General features: G+C 47.3%; 1 protein-coding gene and 1 long non-coding RNA gene across 3 annotated transcripts in view, besides 3 other annotated features; both read right to left on the bottom strand.

The window, feature by feature from the left end:
- TCF7L1 (transcription factor 7 like 1) overlaps positions 1–22,305 on the bottom strand; it is a 176,996-nt gene that overhangs the window by 112,455 nt on the left and 42,236 nt on the right. The window lies entirely within an intron of this gene.
- Positions 7,641–8,142: an enhancer, noted in NCBI's record as "H3K27ac-H3K4me1 hESC enhancer chr2:85416914-85417415 (GRCh37/hg19 assembly coordinates)". NCBI's record gives its function as "activates a minimal SCP1, AML or CMV promoter by ChIP-STARR-seq in primed H9 embryonic stem cells {active_cell/tissue: H9 hESC(primed)}" and the evidence as "EXISTENCE:reporter gene assay evidence [ECO:0000049][PMID:30033119]".
- On the bottom strand, positions 10,680–11,524 carry TCF7L1-IT1 (TCF7L1 intronic transcript 1). The gene is made up of 2 exons (NR_046797.1): positions 11,135–11,524; positions 10,680–10,747 (listed from the first exon to the last, which is right to left on the bottom strand). It is a non-coding gene; the product is annotated as a TCF7L1 intronic transcript 1 (long non-coding RNA).
- Positions 15,648–16,295: an enhancer, noted in NCBI's record as "H3K27ac-H3K4me1 hESC enhancer chr2:85408761-85409408 (GRCh37/hg19 assembly coordinates)". NCBI's record gives its function as "activates a minimal SCP1, AML or CMV promoter by ChIP-STARR-seq in naive H9 embryonic stem cells {active_cell/tissue: H9 hESC(naive)}" and the evidence as "EXISTENCE:reporter gene assay evidence [ECO:0000049][PMID:30033119]".
- Positions 16,404–16,541: a silencer, noted in NCBI's record as "fragment chr2:85408515-85408652 (GRCh37/hg19 assembly coordinates)". NCBI's record gives its function as "represses an EF-1alpha promoter that drives an FKBP-Casp9 reporter gene in an ReSE screen in both phorbol 12-myristate 13-acetate-treated (for megakaryocytic differentiation) and untreated K562 erythroleukemia cells {active_cell/tissue: K562 | K562(+PMA)}" and the evidence as "EXISTENCE:reporter gene assay evidence [ECO:0000049][PMID:32094911]".

Here is a 22,305-nt window from a genome sequence, read left to right as displayed (position 1 = left end):
GCACCCAACACTGCTCACTGAAGTAAGTTACCCCTATGAGGCCACAGGCAGACTCTCTTCTAGAACCCTGCTTTGCACCTGCCACCTGGCCAGCTGAGCCCAACCCTGGCCACTCTGCACAACCAGGAGGCTGCTCAAACTCTCAGCAGAGGAAACATTTTCAGTAACGAGCAAAATCTCAAATCTCCAACACAAAAATCAGATGAATCTGTAAGAAGAACAAAGGTGTTTTGCTGCATCCTAAAAGGCAGGGTGACGATTGACAGTTGTCTTATATCAGCCACATCAGCTAATATTTTATTTTTGAATTTTGTTTTGATTGCAGAGAACCAAAAAAAAATCTTAATTTCCACAGATAAGTGGTAGCAAATGCTAATTAATGGACTTTTAGTAGACTGCCTTTTGATCCTAGGATAGCCTTTAGTCGCATCAGTGTTTGTTGGTGTTTCTTTCATCACTGTCCCACAAGGAGCCTTAGCAGACATTCTGCCTATTTGTGCCACCCCACTCCCGAAATATATATATATTTTTTGAGACAGAGTTTCGCTCTTGTTGCCCAGGCTAGAGTGCAGTGGTGCACTGTAACCTCTGCCTCCCGGGTTCAAGCGATTCTCCTGCCTCAGCCTCCCAAATAGCTGGGATTACAGGCGTTTGCCACCGCACCTGGCTAATTTTTGTATTTTTAGTACAGACTGGGTTTCACCGTGTCGGCCAGGCTGGTCTCGAACTCCTGACCTCAGGTGATCTACCTTCCTCGGCCCTGCAAAGTGCTCGGATTAATACATATTAATACATATACAATCACATACTGTTTTAGTAACACAAAGGAAAAAGAAGAGGAGGACTTACTTAGGCTGGGGGTGGTAAGTGGAAACTGTCCAAGTGAGAAGTGAGGTAACACCAACCTAGGCAGAGAAACCTGCACGCAAGGCCCTGAAACCGTGGAGTTTGGATGGCCTGCGGCAGGTTGGTGTGGCTGGGGAGTGCCGGGGGCTGAGGAAGAGGCTTGCTCCTCCTCCCCATCCAGGCAAGCAGCAGCAGTCACTGCAGTCAGGGGAAGGGGTTGGGCAGTGGGAATGCCTCACTTACTGGGTGACATAAAGCAAGGCAGGAATGCTTTCTCAGGCTTGGTTTCCCATGTATAAATTCAGAAAAACATCACCTACCCAATATAGAGGTGATTATTAAATGCACTATCCTCTAGAAGCTGTGGTTATTAACCTTGACTACACATTGGAATCACCTGGAACCTTATAAAGTCCGGGCTGGGTGTGGTGGCTTGCACCTGTAATCCCAGCACTTTAGGAGGTCAAGGTGGGAGCATCACTTGGGGTCAAACGTTTAATACCAGCCTGGGCAACATAGTGAGACCCTGTCTCTTAAAAAAAAAAAAAATAGTCCTGATGGCTGGGACCTACCACCAGGCCCGGCCTGGACATTCCAAATCATCCAAGCTCCCCAGGTAATTCCAATGTGCTGCTGGGCTGAGAATCACTGCTGCACAGCACCTGGCACAGGTAAATGTGCAGAATAACATGTGCTGGGTGCAGTGGCCTGCGCCTATAGTCCTAGCTACTCAGGATGTTGAGGTGGGAGGATCCCTTGAGCCCAGGAGTTTGAGTCCAGCCTAAGCAATATAGCGAAGTTTGTCTTTAAGAGAAGAAGAATGACATCGTTTATGTGGGCACAAAAGGCTCAAATGAATCATAAACTATTCAGGGATACACTTGCCCCTGGCATCTGAACTCCTGTCCCGAGTTTAGGAATCCCTGCTTCTCGTATGAGTCCTGGCAGGACGCAGGGTTCACCTCCCACTCTGGAAGCTGGAAATGCCAGCAACATCAACAGCACAGTGTCCTCACCACTCTGGTTTTGTGACTATTGTGGGTGCAGACTGGGCTGCTGCCTGGTCTCCATGGTTTGAGTCCACAGCCATCCCAGCAAGACTGGGAACCACCCCAATGTCCTTTAAAGAAATCCTTTTTCTGATCTCAGTCAGCTGATACCTACTGCTCAAAACTAAGAATGCTACTGATAAAAATATTCAGAGTAGGACTCTTTTTATGGTTTTTAAGAAAGAAAATAGGGCCAGGTATGGTGGCTCACACCTGTAATCCCAGCACTTTGGGAGGCCGAGGCAGGAGGATGGCTTGAGCCCAGGATTATGAGACCAGTCTGGGCAACATGGCGAGACCCCATCTCTACAAAAAATACAAAAATTGGCCGGGGGTGGTGGCGTGCCCCTCTAGTCCCAGCTACTCGGGAGGCTGCAGTGAGAGGATCTCCTGAGCCTGGGAGGTTGAGGCTGCAGTGAGCCATGATCCCATCACTGCACTCTAGCTTGGGCAACAGAGTGAGACCCTGTCTCAAAAAAAGAAAGAAGGAAAAAAAGAAAGGAAAGCAAAAAAGCAAGCAAAAAGCAAGCAAGCAAGAAAATCGGTCTTCATATGTAATGAGATCTTATTTATTGATTTATTTTTGAGACAGTGTCTCCTCGCTCTGTCACCCAGCATGAAGTGCAGTGGCACAATCACAACTCACTGCACCCTTGACCTTTTGGGCTCCAGTGATCCTCTTGCCTCAGCCTCCCAAAGTGTTGCAATTACAGGCATAAGCCACCACGTCCCATGCACGTTAACATTTCTTGAGCACTGACTGTGCCAGGTGCTGGTTCTTTTCACCTACCAACTCATTCAGTCTCCATGACAACCCTATTAGGTCTAGACTGTTATTATCCTGACTTTACAGATGAGAAAATGTAGGCAGAGAAAAGGGTAGGTAACTTGCTCAAGGTTACAAGGTTTGTAGGTAGTGGAGGTAGTTGGTGAACCCAGATGATCTTGCTTCAAAGCCCACAGTCCCAGCCACTACGCCATAGGGCAAATGCTGCGAAAAAGGACTGTAGGGAGACGAACTGTCCACACCTGTTACCTCGGGGGTGGGACTGGGGGGTGGAGCTGAAAGAGGCCTCTGATGTATTCCTTCTGTTTGCTTTGAACCTTTTGCAATAAGGACTACTCATGTATTATTTTCACACAAAGCAGTATTTTTGTGGTGATTAAACTTGAACCAGTGTGCCTGCGAACTAAAAGCTTGCAACAGAGACTCCACAGCAGCTGCTGCCACCATCCAAGAACTTGAGGGGGATTCTGCTCTGAATCTCATGCCAGGGGTTTCCTCCTGATTCTTCTGTGAGAACCCACTCCTGGAGTGTTTACTGTGATATGGCACACACTGCTGGTTGCTGTAATCACACCAGCTATTTACCCTGGGCTCAAGGGCACCTGGGGGCACACAATTCTAGACTCAAGTTTGGCTGGCTTAGTTGCAGGATCCCCATCATCCTCAGAAGATGCCCTGACCATGCTTTGGGTTTCCCTGCCCATCTACCCTGCCTACTTTTCCTACAATTTTCATTCTCCAAGGTCCAAATTCATATTTCTCCTGGCAGACTTGGTTTCTCCTCTTCTCTTGGCTCATTATCAGCCTGATTCTCCTGCCTCAGCCTCCCAAGTAGCTGGGATTACAGGCGTGCGCCACCACACCCGGCTAATTTTTGTATTTTTAGTAGAGATGGGGTTTTGCCATGTTGACCAGGCTGGTCTCGAACTCCTGGCCTCAAGTAATCCACCCGCCTTGGCCTCCCCAAAGTGCTGGGATTACAGGTGTGAGCCACCACTCCTGAATTCTGTAATTCCAACTTGGCAATGCCTTAGAGTCTGCCCACATCATTTCCCGAAGGTAATCCCTCCTGTTTCGGTGGGAAGGTGCTCTGTTTGGGGGACTTTTCTTATTCAGTTTATTCCCCCCTTCTCCTCTCTTCATTCACATGTCTTCAGCCATCCACTCCCAGGGGGTCACCTTCCAGGGTTCTGCCCCACCCCTCTCCATCCCATAGCCCCTCTCCCATCTTTTCACACTAACCCTCCTACCACCTCAGCCACAGGAGGGCCTTTTTTTTTTTAAACTTTTAAATACTAAAATAATTTCAGACTTATACAAAAGTTGCAAGAATAGTAAAATGAACTTCCACATACCACTCACCTACATACCCCAAATGTTAACATTTAACTACACTTACTTTATCTCTCTCTCTATATGCATTTTTCCCCAAACCATTTTAGAGTAAGATGCACACATGATGTCCCCTTTTGTCTAAATACTTCTGTATTTCCCAAAAAAGACATTTTCTTACAATACCAGTTTACCTAGTCATAAAATTGCCATCTTATTTATTTTAATTGCTTTTTATTTTTTAAGGCTAGTCAAGTGGAGCAGTGGTAGAGGAGAAGGAACAAAGAACAGAAAACTACCGCTGGTAGAATACTATCACTCAATCCACAGACTTTATTCAAATGCTGCCAGCTGTCCTGATAATGCCCTCTATTTATTTACTTATTTATTTTTAAATATAGACATGAGGTCTCGCTTTGTTGCCTAGGCTGGTCTTGAACTCCTGGGTTCAAGCAATCCTGCCACCTTGGCCTCCCAAAGTGCTAAGATTACAGGCATGAGCCACTGCACCCGGCCCTAATAATGCCCTTTAGAGCAAGAAAAAAGAAAGAAAAATGCATGATCAGTATCCCACCCAGACTAAATATCACTTAGTTTAAACTTGCCAGCTTTGAGACCTGCCTGAGACTTTGGCTCCTCAGCTGTGGAAAGAGCCATGGATGGGGAACTGTTACTGTCTACGCAGATTGGACAAGTCACTTGGCCCTCTGTGCTCTACTCGCCATCACCCACGAGAATAAAAGGACAGGGAAGCCATGGGCATTTTAGCCTGAGTGCTCTACATAAATATCAAGCACAGCAAAGGTGGTCAGTCAGCGGAGTTACAACTAACAAAGCAACCTTTGGCTTCTCCCAGGTATCGATACAATTCATTCAAATGAAAAAATAAGAACTTAATTTTATTGAGTGATTACCCAGTTAGATAAGACAGAGCGGGCACAGTGGCTTATGCCTGTAATCCTGGTGCTTTATGAGGCTGAGGTGGGAGGATTGCTTGAGGCCATGAGTTCAAGACCAGCCTGGGCAACAAAAACTTGGTAGAGAAACAAAAATTTCTCTACAAAAAATTTAAAAAAAATTAGCCAAGGATGGTAGTGCATGCCTGTATCCCACTTACTCGGGAGGCTGAGGCAGGAGGATCACTTGAGCCCAGGAGTTCAAGGTTGCAATGAGCTGTGATCACACCACTGCACTTCAGTGCAGTGCACTTAAAAAAAAAAAAAAAAAGATTAGTTAGGCCAGGTGCCACGGCTCACACGTGTAATCCCAGCACTCTGGGAGGCCGAGGCAGATGGATCACCTGAGGCCAGGAGTTCGAGACCAGCCTGAACAACATGCTGAAAACCCCATCTCTACTAAAAATACAAAAATCAGTTGGGCATACATGCCTGTAATCTCAACTACCCAGGAGGCTGACGCATGAGAATCGCTTGAATCCGGGAGGCGGAGGTTGCAGTGAGCCAACATCACACCACTGCCTGGGCAACAGATCGGGACTCTGTCTCAAAAAAATAAATAAAAAAAAAATAAAATTAGAGCTCTACATGTTTCACATGTATCATCTCATTTAATACATACTGTTTTCACTGCTAGCTCCATTTTGCAGATGACTAGACTGAGTTTGGGGGAGAGGGGCGGTAGCTGACTGATTTGCTCAAGCTCTTTCCAATGCTTAAATTCAGGATTAGAAATGAGGAGGATAGAAAACATGTAGTCATTTGCAAGATGACATATCTTCATTAGGGTGAAATAGGGTAGAAGGAAGCAGACCTCTGAATGGAGACCACTGCCCCTCAGCTAACTGTGGCTGCACCTGCCATCAGGCACAGGGCTACATAGCTGGAACACCCAGCCCTATGCAGCACAGAGTCCCCTTGTCAGAGGACAAATGGATTCTGGGACCATAGTGAAAACAAAAGTGCACTAAGTTCCATGCTGCAAAATGACTTCTCTTGGTGACCTGGAGTTAAATTTTTGTCCCCTCCCTATGAAAAGCTTTATCCTAGGGACTTGAAGATGAAGTTTCTTCCCTTTGTAGGAAGTTGGTCACATCCAATGAGGAAATAAAATAAACTTCTTTTTTTTTTTTTTTTGAGATGGAGTTTCACTCTTGTTGCCCAGGCTGGAGTGCAGTGACAAAATCTCAGCTCACTGCAACCTCTGCCTTCCAGCTGCAAGCGATTCTCCTGCCTCAGCCTTCCGAGTAGCTGGGATTACAGGCACCTGCCACCACACCCACCTAATCTTTGTATTTTTAGTAGAGACAGAGTTTCACCACGTTGATCAGGCTGGTCTCGAACTCCTGACCTCGTGATCTGCCCTCCTCAGCCTCCGAAAGTGCTGGGATTACAGGCATGAGTCACGTGCCAAGGAAATCAACTTCTAAATGCACTAAACAGAGTAGTACAGAGCACACAGCATGCAAATACTAACTAACCCTATGAGAGGTGCCATCCCACTTCTATACCATTGCATAGTGCAGGGAGCTGAGGCCAGGCAGGGTTTGGTGATCTGGCCTGGGCTGGCACCAGATCAGGGTCTGTGAGATGTCACATAGCACCTGTGCCTAACAGAAGAAGCTGGCGGGACCAGAGGGTTTGAAACCAATGTCATGTTAAGTGGTTCTACATCCCTCCCTTAGCCATGGGGCAACCTAACTCCTTCCTTGGGAGGAAGGCCATGCAGTGGGTTTGTGATCACCTCCCCAGGGTATGTGACAAGTAGGAAAGCTTTTCCCTATCTGTCCTCAGCACTGATACCACCACTCGGCACTGGCAGCTTGGCAAGTGTTTCTATATTGTGTGCTGCGTTTCTCCAAATAAGTTATAAGGCTCTTAAAGACTAGTAGAGGTATTTTTCCTTTTCTTCCTTCTTTCTTAACACTTAAAATTGAAGGAGAAATTATAAAGATAACTCAGTTCACTGCACCAGAGTCATTAATGCTGGCAGCAGCCCTCGCCTCAGTTGCTAAGAGCCTAAGCCCCCGTTTCCACTGAAGCTCTGCCACTCACCTTGGGAAGCCACTTAATATTTCTGAGCCTCAGGTATTGCGTCCATAAATGGGAATAATAACCTTTCCTACCTTAAAATGCCTGCAGCACTTACCACTCATACGTGGGTGTATATAACAACAGAACAGCTTAAGTCAGTGAAGTATTATGTACAAAGCTCTTAGTCCAGTAAGTTCCCAATAAATAGAAGATTCTACTATCTCTTTGGCTACTACTGTGACTGCTGCTGCTGTGATCCTTAAACACAATTTTGTAAAACTAAGAAACACAAAGGCTCCTTAGCATCTTGGCCTGTGCTTTTCATTCCCCCATGTTCCTAGGTCAGTCATCAGGTGCCAGAGGTTCCCAGGGTGTTGGCTGCCATATGGTAAGTGTCCATGAAGTCCATTCTCCCATCTCCACATCTACCACCAACTGGTTCCAAGTCAGCACCAGGTCCTGCCCTTTCCTGCAAACCAGCCACCCAAGACTGGCCTCTGCAGAGGCCTATGGTGCTCCTTACTCAGCCTCTCAAATTCCAAATGCAGATCCCTGGCCATCAGCACTCTGTTCTACGGCAACTTCCCACCTTGAAAATGTCCTTCGTCCCTCCAAGATCTCAAAGTCTACTCTCCTTGACCTAAGAGGTGAGCCCAGTCTTTTCAGTAAGGTGATCACACCCCAAGAGGCAAAATATTCTGTGGCCTCTTCAAAGGACAGTAAAGTACATCAGTGTGCCTGGGGCTATATGAAAGGAGCAGCAATGTAGTTCACTCCTTCAACAAGGACTTACTGAGTGCCTCAGGTATGTGGGACTATAAAGATAAAGAAGACAAGGTCTCTACCCTTAAGCAGGGGCTCCAAGAGGTGTACACAAAGATAAAAGCTGAAGGTCAGGACCAAAGATAAGCCCTAGCAGCCCTGAACTTGCTCATTCCCAGCTCACTGCAAGGTATTCCCACCCCTCCCTTCCAGAGGCTCCAAGTGCACAGAATGAATGAACCCCAAGTGGCTGTCCAGTGTCATTCCTCTGGGCTCACTCCCGGGCCCTGGGCTTCTCCAAACAATTGGAGGCAGGCCGAGTGGGCGCATTCTCATGTGCAAGGCTCGCAGCGCCCCTCTCAGCTGATTGTGTCCAGGCGGCCGGGGTCTCGGAGGCGCATGAATGCCCCTGAATGGGCCCTTTCAGCCTGATGGACAGGAGCTGAAAGCTGCACACACACAAAAGCCACTGGGCAGCTGGGAGGGCTCCAGCCCCGGGGTTTGCCCACGGGAAGGGAGGCCGTCCTTCCACAAAGAGCAGTGTGAAGACTTCTCCACTTTTCAATGGCATCCTCTGGCCGCCAACTGTACAGCACCCCTACCCCCACCCCTGATGGTGGTAACAGCAGCAGAGGATGGCACTACATGGAGAAGCCTTAGAGGGCTAGAGGCAGAAATTAAAATCCAACAAATAAATAACAGAATGCCCTTTTCTTTAAGAGCAGGATGGGGATCTGAGCCAAAGGCCCTGAAGGGCGCCTCCATGTGCCCATCATGTACATCTGTAAGCAGCATTCCTGACACCCACAGTGATCTTTAAGGACACAGACTGACCTGAGATTGTCTAACATGTCACCAAGAAAAATGATCTCGAAAGGACACGGCCAATATTTAAATCAGGAATGGAGAGTCCCAATTCTTGTGTCACTCACTTGGTATATTCCAGGAAAAAAAAAATCCCCGAAGCGACACTTGTATTTTTAAATAGGACCAGGAAGGGGAGAATCACCCATCTGGAATTCTTTTAATTGCTTCGGGGGGAAGGGCAGCCTCCACCAGTTGGAGGAGCAGAGAAGTCTATTTACACTGTTGCACACAAATATTTTAAGTTCACAGTCAGGTGGCTACTTTGGAAGGGACGATGCTCTGCTTCTGAGATCACATTACTTTAGAAACACCCCCCCAAAAAGATAATTAAAGATAGTTCCTCCTCATAATGCAATACTATAAGGAGCAATTAAAATTAAATTAGCTTGTCATAATAAAAAAGATGGATTATGTTCTTAGGCTTCCCAACCCGGAGTTAGTAATTCATGGAGAGAAGCCTGTGACCAAGTAGCAGTTTTACTAAGGAAATATTAAACATTCAGACCACTTTTGTGAGTGGACCAAGATACCAGGGAGATACATACCCTGGCATAATTATTGCTTTTGTTTACATTTATTTTATTTTTTAAATAATGGAATGATTCAAACACATAATAAAGGACAGGGAAAAACACAACAAATAAAATCCATCATCCTAAATTCACAAATGTTAACATTTTGTTATGTTTGCTTCAAGACCAGGTTTTTCTAAACAAATAAAATGTTATGAAATCAGATGAAGCCTCCTTTTGCAGAGGCAACTGTATGTCCATATTTTTACAGGTTTGCCATTCTTGATGTGACATAAACAGAATGTAATATTGTTTTAACTTTTTATTTCAAAATGATTATAGATTCATAGGAAGTTGGAAAAAAAGTGTACAGGGAGGTTCCAAGCATCTAGCCTAGCCTCCCCCGATGTTAACGTCTTGCATAGCTAACTAGCATGCTATCAAAACTAGGATATTGAGATTGGCACACTCCACAGAACTTTCTCAGATTTCACCAGTTTTACAAACACTCGTGTGTGTGTGTGTATGTGTAGCCCTATGTAATTTTGTCACATGTGTAGCTTTGTGTAACAACCACAATCAAAATACTAAACTGTACCATTACCACCAGATTCTCTCATGCTACCCCTTTTGAGCAACACCTATCCCTTATTCCCCTCATCCCTAGCACCTGGCAACCACTCATCTGTTCCCCCTCGCTATAATTTTGTCATTTCACGAATGTTATATAAATGGCAAATGCAGTATATAACCTTTGGAGACTGACTTTTTCGTTCAGCATCATTTCCTTGAGGCTCGCCTATATTGTTGCATGTGATCAATAATTTTTTCTTTTTTATTGCTGTATTCCATGGTATAGATATACCACAGTTTGGTCAACCATACACCACTGAAGAACATCTGGATAGTTTCCAGATTGAGGCTATTTTGAATGAAGGTGTTATGAACATTCACATGTATAAGTTTCCTTGTGAACATAAGAGAAAGGCCCTAGAAGAGCCAAAACTATTTTGAAAAAGAATAAAGGAATCTCTCTTCCCAGTGTTAAGGCTTACTATATAGCTCCAGTAACTGTGACAGCATGGTCTTGGTAGAGGGCTAGACATGGAGATCAATGGAACACAATAGAGAACACAAATTGCCCACTTGCTTTTTTACAAAGGTGTAAAAACAATTCAATGGTGAGAGGTAGTCCTTTCAACAAAGTGTGCTACAGCAAGTGGACATCTACAGGAGGGGGAAAAAAATCAACCTCAACCTAAACATTACACCTTATATGAAAAGTAACTCAAAATGGATCTTAAATGTAAGACTTAAGACTTCAATGTAAAACACAAAACTATACAACTTTTAGCAAGAAACACAGGGCACATGAGGACATCTGAGTTCTATAATTCTGGGTACACCAGGAAGAGTCTCTTTCCTTAACATCTCCCCATCTAGTCTGTCCCAGATGACTGAAATTCCGCTATTAGACAGTCATACCTTTGGCTTAAAGGCTCATCCAGAAAATTCTTCTGGGAGAGATAAGAAATGAGAGCTTTGAATCTTGGGGTGAATCAGAGTATCAGGTCTTCTTTAGCTGACAGCTGAGAGGAGGATCTAAAAGGAAGTGAAATGAAAAGGGCACTTGGAGAATGAATGAGGGTGGGAGGGGTAAGAGGAAAAAGATGACGTTCTGACAAGTTCCACCTACTTGACAACAATAAGGTCAGTTCTTCCAAAATGTGTATCTGGTGCTGCATCTTAGTCAGGGCTGGGGGCAGGGGACGGAGTATGTTCACCAAACTACACTCAGCCAACATGTGCAGACATTTATACATGGTATCCACCAACTCACATGCAAAGAAAAGGAGTGTATATACATGTCAAAGGGTGGCAGTTCGTTGTTGTTTACCTTTCCTCATTAGTACAGTACAAATCTAGCTGAGAACAAAGAATTTATATTCCAAACAGGATAAAAGTATGAAAAATGTCTTTATTACCTACCTAGTATTTTCCTTCCTCCGTTTATGACTTCTTTTACATACACGTTTTATGGAATTATTCAGGCAAATGCCTTCTTTGGGACTCCTAACTCTGTGTGCAGCATGGTTGAAGAATGGGATATTCCTGTTACAGATACATCAGGCACATCACCAACTCCCAACGAATCAAATCCAATTGAATGCTTTTAACCCTAAAATTTTCAGGAAACAAATTTATCATCTTTGCTAAATTAGAAGACACAATGGGAGCCATATGGTAATGGTGACCATATTTCCCAAATTATAAATTTATGGCATAGAACCTGAGGAATGCTCATCATGGAAACAACAGGAGTGAAAATTTAAATGCAAGCAGTGTGGGCCCATATGCTCTATGGCTACCATGGCTGCCTGTCCCATTCAAGTGGGATGTGTTCAGAGGAAGCGCTGACTCTGGATGGCGCCCCCTCATGGAAAGGAGGAGCCACTGCAGCTCAGAGAACCTTTAGCTTTTCCATGTTACTTTGATCGGGCTCTAAAATAAAGTCCCCTGCGGCCGGGCGCGGTGGCTCACGCTTGTAATCCCAGCACTCTGGGAGGCCGAGGCAGGCGGATCACGAGGTCAGGAGATTGAGACCATCCTGGCTAACACGATGAAACCCCGTCTCTACTAAAAAATACAAAAAACTAGCCAGGCGTGGTGGCAGGCACCTGTAGTCCCAGCTACTCGGGAGGCTGAGGCAGGAGAACGGAGTGAACCTGGGAGGCAGAGCTTGCAGTGAGCCGAGATTGCACCACTGCACTCCAGCCTAGGCGACAGAGCGAGACTCCGTCTCAAAAAAAAAAAAAAAAAAAAAAAATCCCCTGTGTTGTCTCCTGACTGGGAGGTAAACTCGTATCTCCTGGCAGGCTGCTCCGAGGATCTAAGTCTCAAGTTAAATGAGGCAGCAGTGCATACAAACAGACTAGGAGGCCTCCACCAACATGGGGCTACCCGCACAGTGAGGGCCCTCCCAGTTCTGACCACCTTCCTCTCTATCAGCCCATCACAAAAACCCGCCACAGGCGTGAGCTGCCACTTCCTAAGATGTCCTAACCCCAAGCCAGGGACTGCCACAACCTCAGCAGAGTGTGGTGTGTCAGGCTGAGACACATCCTCTCTCTCCAATGCAGCCTCCCCAGAAAACCCACAAGCAGAGATAGACAGGACAACCCTCTCTGGAGCTGGGCCACATAAACAAGCGAGCTTCCATGAGGAGCTCTGGCTGCCCTGTGGTTCAGTGTGAGACTATCGGCTGGCTCCTGCTTGAGACTGGCTCTACCTGTGTGACCCCAGACAGCTCATTTAACCTCTCTCTTCTCTGTGCCTCCCATTTCCTCTTCTGTAAGACGTGATGTTGCTGAGTGTGGTGGCACTTGCTTGTAGTCCCAGCTAATGGGGTGGCTGAGGCAGGGGGATCGCTTTAGCCTAGGAGTTTGAGGCTACAGTGAGCTACGATAGCACCACTGCACTCCAGCCTGGGTGACAGAGCAACACACCATCTCTTAAAAAAAAAAATGCTGTGATGCAGATTCATGAGTTCAAACGCTGGCCTGGCACAGAGTAGACCCTCAATACAGGCTGGTTATTACGTCACTTATCATTACTAGGGCACACTCTCCTGAAGCTAATTTCTCAGGCGTCGCTAAGTCCTTGCCCAGGTAGTCACTTTCCTAAGAAACATGAAATTCTTCATCTGGGGCTATAAAAGATCTTGAATGGTGGAAGAGAACAAGCTCTAGATGTGGAGTCAGAGAACTAAGACACAGGTAGAACCTGTCACTGAACTTTGCTGTGACACCCTGGGCCAGGCCCTTGACTCTCTGAGCTTGTTTCAGTCAGAAACAAAACAGATTGGCTGCTAAGAGTCTTTGCCTTGTAAGGGTGCTGTGAGGATCAGAAGGGATCACTCATGTGACAGCCCAGCCCGCCTGGCCAAACTGAACAGCAAAGACCTAGCCCAGGTAGAAGAGAGGGGAGCACAGCCGTTAGTTTCCCTAGCCTTGTCCCGCCCCTATACCAAGGGCAGGGAACATCAGCAGGGCCACCTCAGTCTAAGCACAGCAGCATCCCCTGAGAGAGGGTCCAAGTGCTGCAGCCTTGTCCTTACACACCATGAAGATGGGCCAAGAAAAGGGTAGGTTGATGAGATCATCTTCTGCGGAGCTCTCCAGGTGAGGAATCTGGCCTTCCACCTGCATGCTCCAAGGGCTGGGGCTGCAAAGAGACTTCATAATCACCAGCATCATCTAGACACCAGAACCACCAAGGACTATAGACCTATTTCCTGAAAGCTGGCTCTTAAATTTGCTCCTTGTCCGCTCATTCTCCTCCAATACCCAATCTGAAACTGCTTCCGGGTTACCTTCCCCACGGAAGGTCCCACAATCTTCAGGCGGACTCCACTTTCCCGAACACTGCCTCTCCCCTGCCAGCCCCAGCTCTGATACCAGGCCTGGTTCCGCCTTTCTTCCCCGCCTCACTGCCCATCTGCTGACTGCAGCGTCCTCTCCTCCTGCTCACCCAAATCCTACCTGGCCTTTAGAGCTTGGCTAAAGGCTCGCTCCATGGAAAATGCCCTTCCAGATTTCTAACCCACATGGACACCTCCTTTTCTTCCCAAAGTCATTTCCTTAACATGAAATCTGCCAAACTGTGTGAACAGTTCTGGTGCCTACATACCCCAAGACAAAAAACAACCTCACTCCACTGAGAAGAGGAGAGAACTTAGGCCTAGCTTTCCTTCCTGGAATGACACCTTGTATCACCTCTCTTCCCACAACCACGACCCAACTTTACAAAGATTTCAATGGCTGAAATGCCCCTTGACTTTCCCTCTTCTCCAGGCAGAGGCCTCCCAGACCCTTGCTATCATCTGTTTGTCTAAGTCCTGGTGAAACTGCAGCTCCTAGAACTAAGCCTGAAGCTCCAGAAGTGGGTTGAGCAGTACAGAGTTGCTGGAGCCATTCCGTATCCTGAGCTGGGCTCTGTAATGCCACCTCTGGCTAATACACTTGCAGTCTGCACTAAGTCCTCACTTACTTTATTTGGGTTGCTTTTGCCTCTCCAAACAGCCTGGAGTCATGTTCTCTTACATCCTCCAGAATGCTCGGCACAGACATAAACTTGCTGACTCGCCCGATGATTTTCCCCAAAATCAGGGCTGAACTATATATGACATGCTTATTCACCATGGCTAAGATTCTGAATATAAAACACCTACTGCCTTATTCAAGCCAGCAGGGTTATGGGCTCTGAGAGACACCAGGCAGCAAAGACACCAAGAAAGACATGTCAAAATCATGGAAATGTCAGAAGCAAAGTCCATCAGGTCCAATGATGATCTGACTACTGTCTGACGCATTCTTCCCTAGGCCTAGGATATAAAGCTTGGACTAGGGACACCACGGGCCATCCATCCTAGGAACCCAAGTCCTAGGTGACTCCCCTTGGTGCTAGCACAATAGGACAAGTTATACATTAGTAATGACCTCCATTCATGATCTGCCTTCTTGAAAGGCATGTATGCCTATGAGTCAGTGACACTCTTGGCTGACTTGCCCATCCATTTGAAATGCATTTTGATATCTAGTATTTCAGGCAGATACCAGGTTAAACCCGGCTCTGTGCTGCCCCTTTTCACTGTGGCACAGACAATACCATTTGATTTTCCTCCTGGGTGCACAAAAGGACTACATTTCTCAGGCTTCCTTGGAGTGAAGTGGGGCCATTGTGTCTGACTTCTGCTCTCTCACCCCTTGAAGCAGAAGCTCTAGTGAGGAACCACGAAGCCCTAGAGCGGGGATTCTCAGTGCGCTCCCTGGACCAGCAGCATCGGCATCCTCTGAGAACTTGTTGGCAATGCAGATTCTCAGGACCTTTCCTCTGGAGGTGGGGACCCAGCAATGTATTTTCACAAGTCCTCAGGTGATTCTGACACTCCAAGTGGGAGCCACCACTCAGGAAGACAGCAGAGCTCTTAGACAGGGAGATCTGGGTTCCTGAATGAACAGGCAGTGCTGATGCAGACTTGCATTGGACCGTGATGGGGAGAGAAATCAACTTGTATTGTGCTAAGCCATTCGGGGTGTTATTTTGAAAGTGGTTATTCTGTCCCTGCTGAAGCAGTAATCATCACCAGCTTCATGTCCAGTCTACTCAGAGGGCCATTTCCCACCTGGGGTTTTCTAGCATCAAAAGCTGGTAGCACAAGCTCTCTGGAGTGCAGAGAACCAGGGTTATCTTATCCTGCCTGGAACAGCCTGACCGGGAACCTCTCTACCCACTTCATTCATTCCTTCACAGTCTGGCTGGTATGCTACAATGGGTGAAGAGGAAGTCACAGAGGGCCAGGATCAGAGAGCAGCTGCTGGCATTAATACATTCCTTCTACCCTCAGCTCCCTGGCACCCCAGGCCAGCACCCACCTGCTTCTCAGTTAAAGGTGTCTGAAGCCTGCATCTGGCCTTAACTCACAGAGAGTGAGTATCAGGGACTCTGCCTGCAGGTCCCGCAGGCCAGCAGCTATGACTGCAGAACAGACCGTGCCCCAGATCACGTGCCAGACCTCATGGAGAGGCTTGGATGTCCATCTCCCATCTGACGAACAAGCTCAGTTTTGAGGGCCTCGTCTCTCCCTGCCATCTTTGCTTTTCCTCTCCAACCGAAATCCCACTTAATTCCTTCAGGCGCCCCGTCCATCCTGCCTCCTCCCCATGTCCACCAGCTGCTCCCTTTTCCCCTGTCCTTTGGCAGGATCTGAGACTCCCAGTGTGGCCTTAGACACCACAGGGCCCGCCCCATAAGGTTTCAGTTTTACGCAAAGTTCTGCGTCTCCCTCCCTATTGAAACATGGATCCTGTGGCAGGGGCTGCATTCAGCATGCCTTGTACCTGCCCCTGGCCTTGGCACTGAACACAAGACACTTGTTAAACTGACACCCACTCGATGCTTGCTTAATGGTCAATGAGTGAGGTGCCTCAAAGAGGGGCAACACCAGACGAGCGCCCTGGGAACCCTCCCTGAGGATACTACACAGGTGCAAAGGAACCAATGGTCTCAGATTTAAGATGCAGACACACGGACCAGTCACCTTAGCTGGGGCAGTTTGGCCCCAGACCTTCTCCTCCAAGCAGAATTCCTCTCCCTCTCCTCCAGCCAGCCTTTTGCTCCCCTGGGATCATTCAACTACAAAAAGGAATGCTTCCCCTGGGCTCTGGGAGCTGCCTGGGGTTCCCTGTGTGTGCTGAACCCTCTCCCTCTCTCCTGGCCACCACACAGTCACACACATAGTTCTTTTTTTCCTCCGGGCTACTTGCTTCCTTTTGCTGCTGCCCCCAGCAGGCGGGCCCATGCCCAGCAGGGAGGCACACCCGTACCTCTGGGAGCCTCCTATATGTCCTTCTACCCTCCAAAGCAGGGCCTTTCCCAGGGGCTGTTTTGAAGGCTGTAGTTTACTAACTTACACCTAGCTTTTGGCTATATGCCAAGTTAGACAAGGAATACATTCCCTCTGTGCTACCTGCCCCTCACATGCACACGCTGGCTACTCTCATTGGGCAGGTCCATCTATTTACCACTTCTTCCAGCCCTCTCTCAGGTGCTCCCTGCTCTCCGCACCTCTTTCTCTTATAACTCTCCTCCCTAATCCCCCAAAAAGAAGCCCCAACTCAGGAGGGGTCACAGGGCAGCTGGCCTCTTAGGTCTACGAAACCTGAACCCACCAGCCTCCCCCTTTTCTCCTTCCTTCAGGAACTGCAGAGGAGAAACAGTTGACTGCTCCAGTCAGCAGAGCCACTCTGGATGCCAGGGGAAGGCCACCGTCTGTTAGGGGCCCTTAGGAAGGCTGGGGCTAGGAATCATGTGCTTCAGACCTGCCAGGGAGGAAGCGGTCTAGCTACTTGCTATTTGCTGGCTGTGAGATGCTCGGCACATCATGCAACCTCCCAGCACCTCAGCTTCCTTACCTATAAATGGGACTAGTGACAGGTCCTAACCTATGTGTTGGGGCTGCTACAGATGACACGAGTGAATAAATACAGATACTTGGAACGGGCTCCTGGTGCACAGGAAACACTCCAGGGTCAGCTGTAACTCTTATCGTGGTTGTTATTTCCTCAATCCTCACTTTAGGAAGTCACTAGCCTCTGAAGAACGTGAAAGGCAAGGAGCAGAGACCATCATGAGCCAGGTGGTGTGGAAGATTCCACTGAGGTCTGTAATGTGGATAACTGAGAAGATTCACCAGGATGGGAACCACAAGAAATCTGTGTGGGGTTGGAAGGCACATTTGAGGGGTATGATAATGTGCGGGGTGTAGCCGTCATGAGGCTGCGATGGCTGAGGGTCAGGCAGGTAGACACACCCTCCAGGTAGCTGGGCTCACACACTGTTCAACAAAAAGAGCACTTTGGGGCACCGTAGCTCACATCTGTAATCCCAACATTATGGGAGGCCAAGGCGGGACAATCACTTGAGGCCAGGAGCTCAAGACCAGCCTGGGTAACATACAACATAGCAAGACCCTGTCTCTACCAAAAAAAAAAACAAAAACAAAAACAAAAAAAAAAACCACTTTGCAGATCAGAAGTTTAGAAACTCAATACTAGATTCTCAGCCTCACATCTCCCTCCCCATCTCTCAAAGGAGATCTTCTCGGCCCTCTCCCCAGCCAGTGCCCCCTGCCCCTTTCTCCAACAGTCCTTGCAGCTGTTCCCAGGACCCGGCTAAGCCACGTCCTGGGCAGTGACACCCTACACAGGAGGGCAAGACACCCCCTATGTGTGAAGCCATTAACAATTATTAAAATTTAACCCAAGAGATCTTCTACAGCTACAGAAAGGCACCCAGAGAAAAGTGTTCAAAGAACAGAGCTTTAAGTCTTTTTTTTTCATTCAGCAACTAACAATAGTGATGACTCAAGAGAAAGGATATATTTCTTTCTTTCAAAAAATGGTAAGAAATCTTTTTTATGCACTTGCCGTGGAAAATGCTTAGCTCATCAAATTCCTTGTGCTAAAAGGAGCTAAACCAACACCACAGCAGGGCCCTCCCCGTACCAGCCCACTCAGCCCTGTTCTAATCCTAATCCCTGCATAGCAGCAGGTAACGGAGGGTTTCAGTCTGAGGGGTGAAAGGTGTGAGCAGAGCAAGGGAGGGGGCAGCTCAGCTCCAGGACTTAGCCAGAGCCCCTTGACTGAAACTCTCTTTTTGATGGCTCTCTACCACATGTAGTGGATTATGTTAGGTTTTGGAGGGGGAAGATGAGAACAAAGGCCCAAGTCTGAGAGATGACCTAGTATAGAGGTTCTCAGAGTCCCATCTGGGACCAGCAGCATCTGCATCACCTGAGAACTTAGAAATACAAATTCTCAGGGCCCCACCCCAGAATCCCCGAATCAAACACTCTGGGAATGGAGCTCAGCTTGTGTGTTAACAGGCTCTCCAGGAGATCCGGATGCATTTGAGAACTATTCCTCCAGGACTCAGGTTGTGTTTCATTCCAAGGGAAACAAGAAACTGTTCTGTGCCTGGCTAATAGGAAACAAACCACAGGTGGTCCCAATTTCATTCCCTAGGTCGTATCATTTTGAACTCAGGGTGAGTGGCTCTATTGATTTTAACATGGCAATAAAGGCAATTAGTCTCTTTTTGCTGTTTAGGAGCAAAAGACAACAACGCCTGCAGAAGCCAGTGGCCCTGGAGGGAAAGCAGCTCAGAGGTGGAGAGAAGCACCAGCTCTGTCTTCCAGGAGCCCTCCCTTATCAGCCCCAGGCTCTGACGGGTGGGTAGTTACTTTCTCTCCTCTCAGGTTAACCAGCCCCTTTCTTCCATCCATCCTCTTGACTGTCTCCCTAAACTCCACTTCCCTTTGAAACAGGCTGTAGGCAGGAGATCCAATCACAGTGGGGTTGGCTGAGGCTCCAAAGTGACCCCCACCTTGAGACACCTAAGACAAGAGTGTCTAAAATCACAGCCCTGCCGCCTGTCTTGTCTCTGTGGTTCTCAAAGCTCAGACAGGATGGGTGGCAACCATGGCTGAGCCAGGGCTTCAGTGAGGCTGCACCAACTTCAGATTCTAGGCCGTAGAAAGGTCAATTAACACTGGCAGGCCTCAATTTCCCTGTCTATAAAATGGACAAATAACCATCTAGTAAGTGCTCATTAAATATCAGCATTTCTGGCCTGAAGAGAGAGCCCTCTGAGTGGGAGCGTGAAAGGGCCTAGATGCCAGGATTCCAGCCCCGCTGCCTTCCACACAGCTGTCCCCTTCCCACCCCTGCCACCCTGCTCCTTCTCCAGCTCCTTCTGGAGACTTGGGTGCACAGGAGGAGTTCAGTAAATAGTGTGAATTAAGGGGAGATAGATGGAAGGAAAGAGACACATGAACCATGTATGACTCAGGCAAAGACTGAATTGATCTGTGTTGGTATTTGAGGGGGAAGGAAATGGCTAAACAAAACAAACTGTGTTTACCACCATGAAAGGAAGCCCAAACAGTAACCAGCTAATGGCAGGTGAAAACACAGGAAATTCTGAAAAGTGTGTAAGAAAGGCACTGTGTTTTTTTCTTCTAAATAATTCAAATGGTTCAAAAGCTTACTCCTTTCCCCTCTAAAGAGCTCACTGTCCATGGAGACGTCTCTGGGAGCGTAGTGTAGCCCTACCTCATACCATTTTTTTCCTCACCTGGCAAGGTCCCTGCTTTTTCTCAGGGCTCGGGGGCCCTGCTCCTGTCTTCACTGATCTGCTTGCTCTCTGTCAGTATCACTGGTTAACAAATGACTCTATATCCGTTCCACAGAATGGTGTGCAGCCATCCCAATGCTTACTGCAGCTACATGATATCTGTGTTCTGTCGTCTTCATCTTATAATGCCTAGAACTTTGAGGGAAATCATTATATAATGAAATGAAGAAACCACCAAAAACTGTGTACCTATGCTTTGATTTTAACTATATAAAATATGAATTCATCAGAATAAAGACAAAGATAAGACTCAAATGAAAACAGTTTGTTAGGTGGTAGGATTATAATCGTCTTTTCCCTTTTTTCATTTTTTTATTTTTATTTTTTAGAGACAGGGTCTTGCTCTGTTGCCCAGGCTGGAGTGCAGTGGCGCAATCATGGCTCACTGCAGCCTCAAACTCCTGGGCTCAAGCAATCCTACTGCCTCGGACTCCCGAGTAGCTGGGACTACAGGCATGCGCCACCACACCTGGCTAGTTTTTTATTATTTTGTAGAGATGGGGTCTTGTTTTCTTGCCCAGGCCACTTTCAAATGCCTGGGCTCAAGTGATCCTTCTTCCTCGACCTCCCAAAGTGCTGGGAATACAGGCATGAGCCACCACTCCAGGTCTCTCTTTTATATAGTGTGGTGGATGTTGACTTTATACTTAAAATTTTTTTAAAACATATGGCAAATATTATAAGGTGTTTGTGCCCCACACCCCTGCCACCAAATTCCTGTGTTGAAATCCAATCCCCAATGTGATGGTATTTGGAGGTGGGGCCTTTGGGTGGTAATTAGGTCATGAGGGTGGAGCCCTGATGAATGGGATTAGTGCCCTTATAAGAAGAGGCCAGAGAGCTGGCTTGTTCTCTTTCCACTGTATGAGGAATGCAAGAAGTCAGCAGTCTGCAACTTGGAAGAGGGTCCTCACCAAAACCCGACAGTGCCACCACCCTGATCTCACCCTCTATCCTCCCAAACTATGAGAATAAATGTCTGCAGTTTATAGTCCACTCACCCTCTGGCACTTTGTGGTTGGATTTTTTTTTTTTTTTTTTTTTTTGAGACAGAGTCTCGCTCTGTCACCCAGGCTGGAGTGCAGTGGTGCGATCTCGGCTCACTGAAACCTCCACCTCCTGGGTTTAAGCGATTCTCCTGCCTCAGCCTCCTGAGTAGCTTGGATTACAGGTGCCTGCCACCACACCAGGCTAATTTTTGTATTTTTAGTAGAGACAAGGTTTCACCATGTTGGCCAGGCTGGTCCTGAACTCCTGACTTCAACTGATCCACCTGCTTCAGCCTCCTGAAGTCCTGGGATTACAGGCGTGAACCACTGTGCCTGGCCAGCACTTTGTTATAGCAGCCAGAACGGACTAAGATGTCAGGCTTCCAAAATCTACTGATTTTCCCATGGAATATACAATTTTCAGAAAAGCATTATTTTTCTAGGATAATGAAGGATGAGGGGTCATAGCCCATGTGAGAACTACTTACCTGGAGACACCAAAGCCTTTGGAGCCAGGGACATGAAAGAGGATGCGAACTTGCCATGGGGACTCCAGACAGTGGAATGGAGGAGAAAACAACAGCTAAATATAAGGGAGAAATTCCCTACGAGTGGAGCTGTCTAATAACAGAATTGCCAAGGTCCAGTCTCCTGACCATGAAGATGTATGGGAAGAGGGTATTAAATAATCATCTACCTGCAGACACTGGGGAGCTCAGGTGCTTCCAGATCTCATTTCATACCACAACAGGCTGCAGTGTAAACATATGGTCAGTCAGCGGAGGACTGAAGCCTCAAACTCAGATGTCCCAGGGCCTGGACTGCTGCTGCACGAGAGCTACACCAGAGCTTCCAAACGGTGCTTCTTTGCATGCCCAGGGTTGGCTGCCTCCAGCCTGTTGGCTCACCCCAGTATGCCCTACAAATATCATCAGTTTCCACCCTTGCCATGAGACAGAAAGGTGGGGAGTACCTCTTATCACAGCAAAGAGGAGGAGATGGCTTCCTACAAAAGCTAGTAAATATTTCATCAGAAGGAAGTCTGTCTTCACAGGAATTGTCCCAGCTAGACTTCCAATCCCTAACCCTGATTTTAAGAGATCCACCTGATAAATGCGTCTTCAGGAACAACAGCCAAAAACAAAGACTGACCTAAACGTGGCTGGTGACAGCGAGAAAGGGAGGAGAGCCATGAACCGCAGAGGGCCAGCATTGAGAGAGTCCAAAGTATTGGTCACGCTTCCATATCCTGGCTCATGTTACAGCCAACTTTTGTTTACCAGGCCTACAGTCCCTCTTCCTGTCATTCCCAGCTTCCTATTTTAATGTTCTTTTTTTCTCTGTTCACTACTATTTAGGCAGACAATGAATACAGATAACAGCGACAGTGAAAAAATTCAACTGAGTTATCTGCTA

Source organism: Homo sapiens, chromosome 2, assembly GCF_000001405.40.
Source record: "Homo sapiens chromosome 2, GRCh38.p14 Primary Assembly".
Lineage (NCBI taxonomy): Eukaryota > Metazoa > Chordata > Mammalia > Primates > Hominidae > Homo > Homo sapiens.
The sequence above is the reverse complement of the archived record's forward strand: the minus strand, read 5'-3'. Positions and strand labels throughout refer to the sequence as shown.